This window comes from Homo sapiens, chromosome 12, assembly GCF_000001405.40.
Source record: "Homo sapiens chromosome 12, GRCh38.p14 Primary Assembly".
NCBI classification, from domain to species: domain Eukaryota; kingdom Metazoa; phylum Chordata; class Mammalia; order Primates; family Hominidae; genus Homo; species Homo sapiens.
The window spans coordinates 132,997,446-133,009,991 of NC_000012.12; the positions used below are offsets into that span (position 1 = coordinate 132,997,446).

General features: G+C 44.9%; 1 protein-coding gene across 9 annotated transcripts in view; it reads left to right on the forward strand.

Annotated features, from left to right (window-relative positions):
- The window catches only part of ZNF26 (zinc finger protein 26), a 40,736-nt gene that overhangs the window by 11,079 nt on the left and 17,111 nt on the right, over window positions 1–12,546 (forward strand). For 3 of the 9 annotated variants that reach the window (XR_007063124.1, NM_001330514.2, NM_019591.4), the window contains 2 exons: window positions 9,597–9,723; window positions 9,992–10,087. Coding sequence is in view for 7 of the 9 variants with exons in the window: in NM_019591.4 (NP_062537.2) it covers window positions 9,597–9,723; window positions 9,992–10,087 (223 nt within the window). In the remaining 2 variants the exon portion in view is untranslated. Of the gene's footprint in view, window positions 1–3,341; window positions 4,287–8,611; window positions 8,815–9,596; window positions 9,724–9,991; window positions 10,088–12,546 lie in introns of those variants that run through there. The other 6 variants (XR_007063123.1, XM_047429502.1, XM_047429503.1 and 3 more) reach the window with 5 other exon arrangements.

Here is a 12,546-nt window from a genome sequence, read left to right on the forward strand (position 1 = left end):
TTCCAAGATAGAGTCCAGAACAGGGGTTAATCAGAAGCCCACATGGTCGATGAGCTTCCAAGATGGAGTTGCTTTGGCCTTCACACTTCACCTCCCAGTCCAGCTTTTCTATCTTATGCGCCCTCCCCTGAACGTTAGGTAGGGTGCCTGATATTGCAGAGCTTTAGCAGCAGTGCAGTGGAAAACAGATTAGGCCAAGGAGGGTTCCAAATTAAGGAGGTTCACAGGGTTGTTGAATCATTTCTAGTCTTCAGAATACTATGACTTTGCTTGTCTCAGATGAAGTAAAACAATGAGAGATACATAACAATAATTTGAATAATAGAAATAGAATGCACACAAGGATTACAAACGAAAGAGAACTTTTGATTGTGCCAGAACAACACCAGCAAATAACCTGTTCCGTTAATGGGCCGACTAAAAGTATCATGAAGAAAACGAAAACCTGGTTCCTTTTTAGGGACTTCTTGTAGCCAGGAAATAATTCAGTTAGCCCAAATTATAGGCAAATAATAAAAACTCAGAACAGCAATCAGAATCTAAAATTTTCTCTCTCTGGTGTCCCTACTTCTACCAAGAATAAATCGTAGCAGGACCAACTTATTTGCAAATAAATTTTGATCTCATTATACTTGGCCTGGTTATTTGCATAAAGAATAGCAAGAATAGTGACCAGCCATGTAGGCTTCTTTTAAGTTGACTTTGCTGGAGCTTTTTTTTTTTTTTCTTTTTTCTTTTTGAGACGGAGTCTTGCTCTGTCGCCCAGGCTGGAGTGCAGTGGTGTGATCTTGGCTCACTGCAACCTTCGCCTCCCGGGTTCAAGCGATTATCCTGCCTCAGCCTCCTGAGTAGCTGGGATTACAGGTGTGTTCCAGCACGCCTGGCTAATTTTTGTATTTTTAGTAGACATAGGGTTTCACCATGTTGGTCAGGCTGGTCTCAAACTTCTGACCTCATGATCTGCCCTCCTCAGCCTCCCAAAGTGCTGGGATTACAGGCATAAGCCACTGCTCTCGGCCTTGCTGGAACTTTTTAAAGGAATTTTGGATTCGACTTTTTAAAAGCTTAGAAGGCCAGAAGCCAAGCCAAGGATTTGCTGCTCGACTGTGCTTGTAACACCTGTATGAATTCCTGTCTTCTCGAGATCCCAAAATACCATGAGGTTCCTGAGCCTGTTAAAAAGTGACATTCTTTACTTGCCACAGATCAGGAATCTTTAAGGTGGACAAGGTACCAGGCGAGTCTTTCCAAGGGGCTTTTTATCAGCTCTATAAATCCAACCTAAATTTCTCAAAGCAGCCTGGTTATATCTGAAAATATGCCATTCCATTTGAGGCCTTGATAAAATAACCAGTCTCTCAATTGTGTCCTTTTTACAAAAGAAAACAGATTCTTGCTGAACTTATGCAAATAACTCTATTGCCATAAAATCAGAATACTCATGAATAGTTTCCAAATTTTGGAGAAATCAGGTAGAGAGAAAGGTAAATTTTGCTCACAAAACATACTTTACCCAATTGCCCTAAGCTATAAATAACTCAGAAAGATTCTTGACTCTTCTTTAATCAGAGCAGCAGTCTTCCAAACAGGATGTCATTTGTTCACCTTGGAACTGCCATCCACAAATCAAGCAGCTCTTTGTCAGTCAGGTGAGAGCTGTTTATCAGGGACTGTCGAATCCAACAGCTGTTTACACAGTTCCAGAGTCAGTGGAACAGAAGCCATGTCTGTGTCTCAGGCAGCTGCAAGACAAGATGGTGGATCTCCACCAGTTCTCATTTTATCTCAGCCGATTCTCTTAGTTTTTTTGTTTGTTTGTTTGTTTGAGATGGAGTTTTGCTCTTTGTTGCCCAGGCTTGAGTGCAGTGGCACGATCTCAGCTCACTGCCAACCTCCGCCTCCCGGGTTCAAGTGATTCTCCTGCCTCAGCCTCCTGAGTAGCTGGGATACAGGCGCCCACCACCACACCTGGCTGATTTTTTTGTGTTTTTAGTAGAGGTGGGGTTTCACTGTGTTAGTCAGGATGGTCTCGATCTCTTGACCTCATTATTTGCCTGCCTCAGCCTCCCAGAGTGCTGGGATTACAGGCGTGAGCCACCGCACCCAGCCGCCATGTGTTTTTAAAGAAAATGATTTTAGTGGTTTACACAAAGTATAATATTTTCTATAGGTTTAAGGAAGAAACACTTTATTGTGTCAAGGAAATTCCTTGTACTTTGCTTTAACTTCTAAGTTTTGAAAGTGTTGAAAAAAAAATTTTTTTTTGAGGGGGAGTCTCGCCCTTGTTGCCCAGGCTGGAGTGCAATTTTGTGATCTCAGCTCACTACAACCTCCACCTCCTGGGTTCAAGTGATTCTCCTGCCTCAGCCTCCCGTCACCATGCCCGGTTAATTTTTTTGTATTTAGTAGAGACAGGGTTTCACCATGTTGGTCAGGCTGGTCTCAAACTCCTGACCTCAAATGATCTGCCCACCTCAGCCTCTGAAAGTGCTGGGATTACAGGTGTGAGCCACTGCACCTGGCCTCCTAGGTTCTCTTTTTGTGTGTCACCAGTATTATGCCTTTACCTCATTTTTCTCATAAATCCTATGGCTTTTTATGCAACTTTGCATGGTGTGATTTTTTGCAGCATATATGTCCCATTACAGTAGAACTGTTTATCATAATCTCTTGTGAAATTTTAAATCTCTTAAGAGTTTTGGACTGCTTCTTGGTCATAAAATTTTCTTTTTAAATTTTCTTTTGATCATGCTAGGTCAATTCAAAATTTTAACAGTTATTTTGTATTTTACTTTTATTCTTTTATTTATTTATTTATTTATTTTGAGTTAGAGTCTTGCTCTGTTGCCCAGGCTGGAGTGTAGTGGCACGTTCTCGCTCACTGCAGCCTTCACCTCCTGGGTTCAAGCGATTCTCCTGCCTCAGCCTCCCGAGTAGTGGGGACTACAGGCATGCGCCGCCATACCTGGCTAATTTTTTTTTTTTTTTTTTTTTTTTGAGATGGAATCTCGCTCTGTCACCCAGGCTGGAGTGCAGTGGCACGATCTTGGCTCACTGCAAGCTCCGCCTCCAGGGTTCACGCCATTCTCCTGCCTCAGCCTCCCGAGTAGCTGGGACTACAGGCGCCCGCCACCACACCCAGCTAATTTTTTGTATTTTCTGTAGAGACAGGGTTTCACCATGTTAGCCAGGATGGTCTCGATCTCCTGACCTCGTGATCCGCCCACCTTGGCCTCCCAAAGTGCTAGGATTACAGGTGTGAGCCACTGTGCCCGGCCTAATTTTTGTATTTTTAGTAGGATAGGGTTTCACTATGTTGGCCAGGCTGGTCTTGAACTCCTGATTGCAGGTGATCCACCCACCTCTGCCTCCCAAAGTGCTGGGATTACAGGCGTGAACTACCATGCCTGGCCTGTTTTCATTCGTATCAAGCTTAAAGAAATAGTAAAAGGCTTTAAATAAAATAGACAATAAGCCTCCTGGTCTACCCGCTGCTCCTGGTCTACCTGCTATCTGCTGTGCACCTTCCCTCTTCCATCCTGTGTCCCCAGAAGCAGCCACTTTGGGCTCCGTTTCGTCTTCTGCTGTCGACCTCCAGCTTCTAATATGGTCACATCGAAGTGACTTGTTTCATGTTTCTTCTCCCTCAGATTTAAAGTAACCAGCTTGATAAGCACCTCAACGTAATAAGGGCACAGTAGTGGCTTCATTTTTCTCATCACAGCCTCAGGCTTCCTGTCAGCCCTTCCCTAGTGCTCGTCGTGAGGAGAGCTGATGATGCTCTGGTCACAGCCTTGTTTGTTATTGACTCTCAGTTACTTTCAGGTATGGGAAAGTTCAGTCCACACTCTCACTCCAAGCTCTTGTACCTCCCCTCATTCTAGCCTGCAGAGGGGAGATGGAGGAGGCTTGTCTGTATTCCCACTTCATTTACTTGTTGCCCTCCGACGGGGGCTCCTTCTGGGTTGGGGTGGGAAAATCAGTGGTTAGAGAAAAAGACACAGAGTCTCCTGTTGTGCGGTGGTCAGTACCCAGAGTTATGACAGGCATCAGTGGGGCTTGGTTGGAGCCTCTGACAGGGCTCTGCCCTGCAGTTCCATGGTGTATGTGATTCTTTCTCTCACTGCATGCAGACTCACCCAGAAGTCCACTCACTGCCTCTTCCCCTGGGGTCTCCCTCCCTGCAGGTAGTGCTGCTGAGGAGGAGCCTGCTAATGAGCTCAAGTGTCAAGTTCGGGAATCTTCTGGGTGTTCCTTGGGCCCAGGGAAACAGTGCCCTGCCTGAGGTGAGCCGCAGGGAGGCGGGGCCCTGTTTGAGGTGAGCTGCTGAACCCTCACTCCCCAGCTGCCTTTTGAGAGTCCCGCGGCAGTCTTTGCCTTCAGAATTTTTCAGAGGAAAGCAGTTATTCGATCCTTGTTTACTTAAATTCTTAAGTACATGTCAGTTCCTTCTGAAAATTACCCAGATTTAGCCTGGTCGGCTGTTGCAGATGTCCAGGTTGTGTGTGGGGCACTTGCACAGTCCCCTTTTCTTAGAGCCCCTCCTGTTTGAGAGGATGGATACCCGCTTCCCTTTCTTCTCACGTGTTCTTAGCAAGGTCACTTTTCTCCTTCAGTGACTCACTTCTGTGGACTGTTTTCTGGTTGGATCTCCCCCATCTTCCGTCATTCATGGACCAGTTATTCACTATCTTCTTTCTCCGTTTGTTATCCCCAGGCTTCTCCACCTCCTTAAAGGGAAAGTTCTGTAGTTTGCTTGGCCAGGCTGCTTGGTGTCCTCCTGGCCCCCCTTCTGTCTCTCAGCGTGCCATGCTGTCTCTATCAGGTTGTGTTCTGGCTCTGTCCCCACAGGATGCCCAGAATCCAGCCACCATTTATCATCCCCATCGCTGTCACTTTGGCCTACACTGCCTTCTTCCACTGGACTAACACAGTTGCCTTCTAACTGGTCTCCCCGGTATCTCCTCTTACACAACCCCCTCCCTCTTCCACAGCAGTCAGGATGATCTCAAAATACCAGTCAGAGCGAGAAGCCTTTCAGTGGCTTCTCACAGCGCTTGCATTTCTGCCTAGGTATAACCTCATCAGAGAGCTGCCCTGATCACCGTGTCTGAAACAGCACCTGTGCCTCCCTCTGTCTCATGACTCTGTCCCTTACCTGCTTGGATTTTTTGTTTGTTTTTTGTTTTTTTGTTTTGAGATGTAGTCTTCTGTGTCGCCCAGGCTGGAGTGCAGTGGTGCGATTTCTACTCACTGCAACCTCCACCTCATGGGTTCAAGCGATTCTCCTGTCTCAGCCTCCTGAGTAGCTGGGGTTGCAGGTGTACACCAGCATGCCTGGCTAATTTTTGTGTTTTTAATAGAGACAGAGTCTCACCATATTGGCCAGGCTGGTCTCGAACTCCTGACCTCAGGTGATCCACCCGCCTTGGCCTCCCAAAGTGCTGGGATTACAGGTGTGAATCACCATGCCCAGCCTGGATTTTGTTAAGAGTACCTAGCACCCCTGGCATGTTAGGTAGTCATGTGTTGGCTGAGTAACACCCACCCTGGAGACCCTAGGTGGGTGGGACCTGGGAGCCTAATTCATATACTGCTTTTAGCTGTTTACAGTTCACACCTCATTCTCATCATGCAGGATGACTGTTCCCAAAGCTTTTGGGGCTTCTGTGGGAGAGATGGTTTGCTGTGCATCAGCTTACCTCTGGGAGAGCTTTTGCTCACGGAAGTCAGTTACCAGATTTTTGGCTTACTGTTTATTAAAAATTTATCAAAATATCATATTGGCTTCTGTTTATGTAGTTCCCTTTTCTTTTTTTTTTTTTTTTGAGATGGAGTCTCGCTCTGTTGCCCAGCTGGAGTGCAGTGGCGCAATCTCGGCACACTGCAAGCTCTGCCTCCTGGGTTAACGCCATTCTCCTGCCTCAGCCTCCCGAGTAGCTGGGACTACAGGCACCCGCCACCACGCCTGGCTAATTTTTTGCATTTTTAGTAGAGACGGGGTTTCACCGTGTTAGCCAGGATGGTCTCGATCTCGTGACCTTGTGATCCGCCGCCTCGGCCTCCCAAAGTGCTGGGATTACAGGCATGAGCCACCGCCCCTGGCCTCCCTTTTCTTTTAGAGGTGTGTTTGTGTGTACTGTATTCCTGTATGTAATTTAAATGGGTCTCAGAGGAGGATACTGATAATCATGTTTAAATCTTCTCTCCATTCTCTCTGTTCCTACTTTCAAATCATGTTTAGTCTCCATCTCAACCTCCCTAATGGGCATAAATCTTACAACTTTGTAGGTGTTTTGATTTGTGAAATTATATATTATAGAAAAGCCATCTAGCATAGAAGAATAATGCCCGAGTATTGATGAGCCAGGAGGGATGGTGAACCACGTGGAGGTGCCTGGGCAAGAGGAGTCTGTTGGCTGTAGTGAGACCGTCATGCTACTTGGGATGTATAAATAAGAAATGCCTTTAGTTTAAGTCCCTTGAGTTAAACTGATGTAAAAATGCAATTATTTATGCTAATTCTGTGAGTATCAGCTTTCATTGATGTAGCATTTACCTGATATCTTTCTTCATTTCTTTATTTTCTAATTTGTATTTTTTCTTTGGTGTATCTCATAAGTTTCAAACTGTCTTAGTTTTGTTTTCAGTATGTTTCTTCTAACATGAATGTGTTCTTTCTCAGTCGGTTTTTTCTCTACTGTTTGGGAAGCTGTACTTGTCTTCCTCCCTGCTCCCTCCCTACATTTTTAGTGCTTGATTGTCTTTAAGTTGTTCACAGGCACACTGAACGTTTCCCTTTAAAACAAAGTCTAAACAGTTGCATTTTCTCTTTTCCCAAGTGAAAGATGTTTCTTTATACCTTCATTTTTTATGATTCTCATCTATTTGCATCACACACATGCTTAAATTGTAGCTGATTATAATTTTAGTTCAGATGTGTTTGAATCAATAGATTTATGTTCTGCTGATTTCAGTGCTCACCGTTGTATCCAGCTTCCCACCAATTCTTTCTGTGTCTTAATGTTGTCTCTATAGGGTGTAATTTTTTTTTTTTAGAGACAGAGTCTGGTTCTGTTGCCCAGTGTAAAGTGCAGTGGCATAGTCATGGCCAACTACAGCCTCAAACTCCTGTGCTCAAACCATCCTTCCACCTCAGCCTCCTGAGTAACTGGGACTACAGGCGTGCACCACTATGCCCACACATTTTTTTGTTATTTGTAGAGATGAGGTCTAACTATGTGACCCAGGATAGTCTGAAACTCTTGGCCTCAAGTGATCCTCCCGCCTCAGCCTCCCAAATGCTGGGATTATAGGCATGAGGTACCACATTTGATGGATATAAATTTTCCAGGTGCTAGTATATTTGAAAATGTCTTTTATTTTCCCTTATTTTTGCTTTTTAGTTTGGCTGGTATAAGATTTCAGAATCAGCATTATTTTTTCTCAGTACTTTATTTCTCTCCCACTTTCAAGAAGCATTGTTCTTTCCTTTTAGTTGGTTATCAGGTGTTCTCTTTATACTTTATTTTCAGACATTTCATTACCATCTGCTTAAATTTGGACCTTTTTTTTGTTTGTTAACTTATCTTGTATTTCAATTGGTAGGTTTTTCTCATGTGAACTCCTGTATTTGTCTTCACTCCAAGAGAATTTTCAGGCCGCATTTCTTTGAACATTGCCCTATTATTTCTCTTATTTATATAAACCTACATTGGTAATTCTTCTATAAACCAGGAAAATCATTCCAGGTTTATTTATTTATTTATTTTTTTGAGACGGAGTCTTGCTCTGTCGCTCAGGCTGGAGTGCAGTGATGCGATCTTGGCTCACTGCAACTTCTGCCTCTCTGGTTCCAGCGATTCTCCTGCCTCAGCCTTCTGAGTAGCTAGGATTGCAGGTGCCCACCCCCACGCCTGGCTAATTTTTGTATTTTTAGTAGAGACGGGGTTTCACCGTGTTGGTCAGGCTGGTCTTGAACTCCTGACCTTGTGATCCGCTTCCCTCGGCCTCCCAGAGTGCTGGGATTACAGGCATGAGCCACCACACCCGGCCAGGTTTATTTTGTAGTCTAGCTCTTACCTGTTCACCTGTTGTAGCCATCGCTGTGGTTTGAGTGTATCTTCCAAATTTCATGTGTTGGAAATTTAATTCCTAAATTTATTTGTTGATGGTATTTGGAGGTGGGACCTTTGGGAGGTATTTAGGATTTGATAAAGTCATCAGGGCAGGGCCCCTATGATGGGATTAGTAGCCTTAAAAGGATAGGAAGAGAGACCTGAGCTGGCATGCTGTCTGTCTCTCATCATGTATTGCCTTCCACCAAGTTATGACATAGCAAGAAGGCCCTCACCAGATGCCAGCACCATGCTTATGGACTTCCTGGCCTCCAGAACCTTGAGCTAAATGAACATTTTTCTTTATAAATTACCCAGTTTCTGGTATTCTGTTATAAAAATAGAAAACAAAGACAGCAGTCTTTTCGGTGTCTGAAATATTTGTTGTTCCTTGAATTGACCAGGCTCTACCATGTGTTCTGTGTGATGCTTGCTTCTGGTACAGGGACTGCAAATTATGTTCCATCTATTTTTTTTTCTTTCTTTCATAATAGATTTGCCAGTTTTTCAGTTGGGCATATACAGAAACTCCATTTCTGAATTTCCCTGCTGTTCCCTCCCAGCCCCCACTCTTTGCTGTTGCTTAGAATGCAGATGTGATGACTAGAGCCATCTTAGACTGGGTTGCCCTGGAAGTGGAAGCCATGTAAGGTGGAGCAAGAGATGGAAGCCCCAGACCAATTGCCTTCAGACTCCTGCAAGTAGAAGGATAAACTCTCTTGTTTATCCCCCTGTTCTCAGCTGAACCTCGTCCAAACACCTCCTGAATTGCCCTTTCTACCCCAACTTCTTGAACACATCATGAATCTTCTAAGACTACTTGAGTGGCTCTCTTCATTTCTGTACAAAATGTACCCTGGATGTTTTTACCAAGGACTCAGAACACCTTATTTTGTTTGCATGTATAAATGTTCATTCCCATCTACAAGATAGAAAGTTTCTTGAAGACAGAACTGGATTTTATTCATCCTGAAATCTTCAGGACCCAAGAGAGTACCGGCAAATAGAAGCTCCTTGATTGATTTTTTCTTTCTTTCTTTTTTTTTTTTTTAGATGGAGTCTCACTCTGTCGCCGAGGCTGGAGTGCAGTGGCACGATTTTGGCTTGCTGCAACCTCTGCTGCCTGGGTTCAAGTGATTCTCCTGCCTCAGCCACCTGAGTAGCTAGGATTACAAGTGCCTGCCACTGCGCCCAGCTAATTTTTGTATTTTTAGTAGAGACAGGGTTTCACCATCTTGGTCAGGCTGGTCTTGAACTCCTGCCCTTGTGATCCACCCGCCTTGGCCTCCGAAAGTGCTGGCGTGAGCCACCGTGCCTGGCACTCCTTGATTGATTTTTAATTCTCTCACAAAGTAAATGCTGAACCAGCCACAGGAAATAGTTGGTAGAGGAACATTTATCCCTTCCCAGTTCCTCTGCATCTTTTCCATGTCACCTAATGTAATTGCATCCAATTGAACAGGGTGTGTGTTATTTCAGGGATTATTGTCATTCAAGGATATATCTATGGAGTTCACCTGGGATGAATGGCAGCTACTGGATTCTACACAGAAGTACCTGTACAGAGATGTGATATTGGAAAACTATCATAACCTGATATCAGTGGGTAAGTACTGCGTCTCAATGTTACTCAGATAGTGAATATTAAATTGCCATCCCTTTTTTTGTTGTTGAACTACTCCGGGATCTCTGAAGTGCTTAATGATTATGAACTTGAACTTTAGGGGTCAAATTTCCTTAGTCCCTGTTTGTCCCACACTTCCTAATTGTAATCTTTCCCCAAGTGAGATGAGCAGTTTTGCTCTGTAGCTCTTGATTCCTCGGTCCTGTCCCTAACAGCCTGGTCCCCACCCTTTGTGATTTCCCATCAACAGGGTATCATGGTACCAAGCCTGACTTAATCTTCAAGTTGGAACAAGGAGAAGATCCATGGATAATAAATGCCAAAATTTCCAGGCAGAGCTGTCCAGGTGGGTGAGTGAGAAAGAGGAAGGTGGGAGGCATGGGAGTGAGCTGATGAGTACCTGAGGAGTGGGCACTCACAGTGTTGTCTTCAGAAATGCTTCTGGAAGTCCTTGAGCTATTGGAGCTGACTCAGGATGAAGCCAGGAGCTCCTCAGATAAGGACATCGCCGTCACTCTTCATATATTTGGGTTTTTCTTCCCCCTTACTGTTGAGAGGCAGGCATGCCCCTCTTTCCTGAACTCTGCTTCAGGTTTGCTTTTGGGTAAGTTTCCGTCCTCCCCATGGTCATGGGTTTTATTGGGCATCGAGACCTTTAGAGGATTTCTTTTTCCCCTCACTTGATGTGGCTCATTGCCCTCTATTTCCATTTCTTTTATTTCCTCCTTTGCCTTCCACAGTTAAATCCCCTAGACTTGACTCACAGTCTTGGCCCTGGTGTCTCCTATATCTTTGAGTGACTTTACACACCTTATACTTCCCTTTTGCGTTGTCCAGAGGGGTATTTTTTCCCAGTTTGGCTCTCCTCTCCGAATGTTGTAACTGTCGAAAGGCTCTTCCGTTCCGAAGGTTTACGCTTTCCCCCCAGTGTTGTAACATCAAAATTGACGTCTTTCTCTTTGGCACTTGAGTCCTGGGTTTTACCTGCCTGTGGGAGCGCTACCCCACGCTTTCCCAGACTTTACTCTCAGTATCAGAAATGGGGATTTCCTTCTAAAATTACCGTTCTTCCTCAAAAGAAATGGCCAGAGTCCTTCATTTTCTTTCACAAGTTTCTTTCTTAGTGTTTCCATCTCTAAGGAGCAGTGCCATCTTGCCGTTCAAGCTGTTGACTCCTCCCCTTCTCTGCTCCCACATCTAGTCCCTTAGCAAACCATCTTAGTTCTCTCTCCCGTATGTTCCAAATTTCCTCAACTCCAGACATGTGTTAGGCCATTCTTTCATTGCTATAAAGAAATACCTGAGACTGGCTGGGCACGGTGGCTCATGCCTGTAATCCCAGCACTTTGGGAGGCCGAGGCGGGTGGATCACAAGGCCAGGAGATGGAGACCATCCTGACTAACATGGTGAAACCCCGTCTCTACTAAAAATACAAAAAATTAGCGGGGTGTGGTGGCGGGCGCCTGTAGTCCCAGCTACTCAGGAGGCTGAGGCAGGAGAATGGTGTGAACCCAGGAGGCGGAGCTTGCAGTGAGCCGAGATCGTGCCACTGCACTCCAGCCTGGGCAACAGAGCGAGACTCCATCTCAAAAAAAAAAAAAAAAAAAAGAAAAACACCTGAGACTAAATTTATAAGAAAAGAGGTTTAATTGGCTCAGAGTTCTGCAGGCTGTATGGGAAGCATGGCAGCCTTTGCTTCTAGGGAGGTCTCAGGTAGCTCCGGTCATAGTGGAAGGCAAAGGGGGAGCAAGCACATCACATGGTGAAAGCAGGAGTAAGGCGGGGCGGGGAATGTGCCACATACTATCAAATGACCAGATCTCACAAGAACTCACTATCGTGAAGACTGCACCAAGCCATGAGGGATCTGCCCCCATAATCCAGATGCAGGCACCTCCCACCAGGCCCCACCTCCAGCACTAGAGATTCTAATTCAACATGAGACTTGGGTGGGGACAGATACCCAAAGTATATCAAGAACTGTAGTTCAAATTATTATCTCATTCTGGACTGCTACAATAGCTTCCTAAAGTATTTCTCTGTCCTTTTCTTACTTTTTACAGAACAGTCAAACTGATCTTTTAAATGCAGAAGATTGAGATTTTCTGTAATTAAAACCTTTAGGCTGGGCACAGTGGCTCACACCTGTAATCCCAGTACTGTGGGAGGCCAAGGCGGGCGGATCGCTTGAGCTCAGGAGTTTGAGACCAGCCTGGCCAACAAGTGAAACCCCATCTCTACTAAAAATACAAAAATTAGCTGGGCATGATGGCATGTGCCTGTAGTCCCAGCTACTCAGGAATCTGACATGGGAGGATTACTTGAACCCAGGAGGTCGAGGCTGCAGTAAGCCAAGATTGCGCCACTGCACTCCAGCCTGAGTGAAAGAGCAAGACCCTGTCTCAAAAAAAAAAAAAATCTTAAAAATATGAACAACTTTTTGCCATGGATTTGAATAATTTGGTTCTGCTTTCATTCCATTCACTCAGTGGGTTTTAGCTTTCCTGGCCTTTTTCTATTTCTTAAACCCTGTCAGTCAGGCTTCTTCCTCAGGAACTTTGTACTTGGTGTAGTGGCGTGATCTCGGCTCACTGCAACCTCCGCCTCCCAGGTTCAAGCGATTCTTCTGCCTCAGCTTCCCTAGTAGCTGGGATTACAGGTGCCCGCCACCATGCCTGGCTAATCCAAGTGCCAATTTTAAACCTCTATTTTAAAAAGTATTTTTGATTACTGGTAATTTGCTACCAGTTTTCACGACGGGACCTGTTTTGGTTTGTTTTGATTCAGTTCCCTTGCCCCCATGC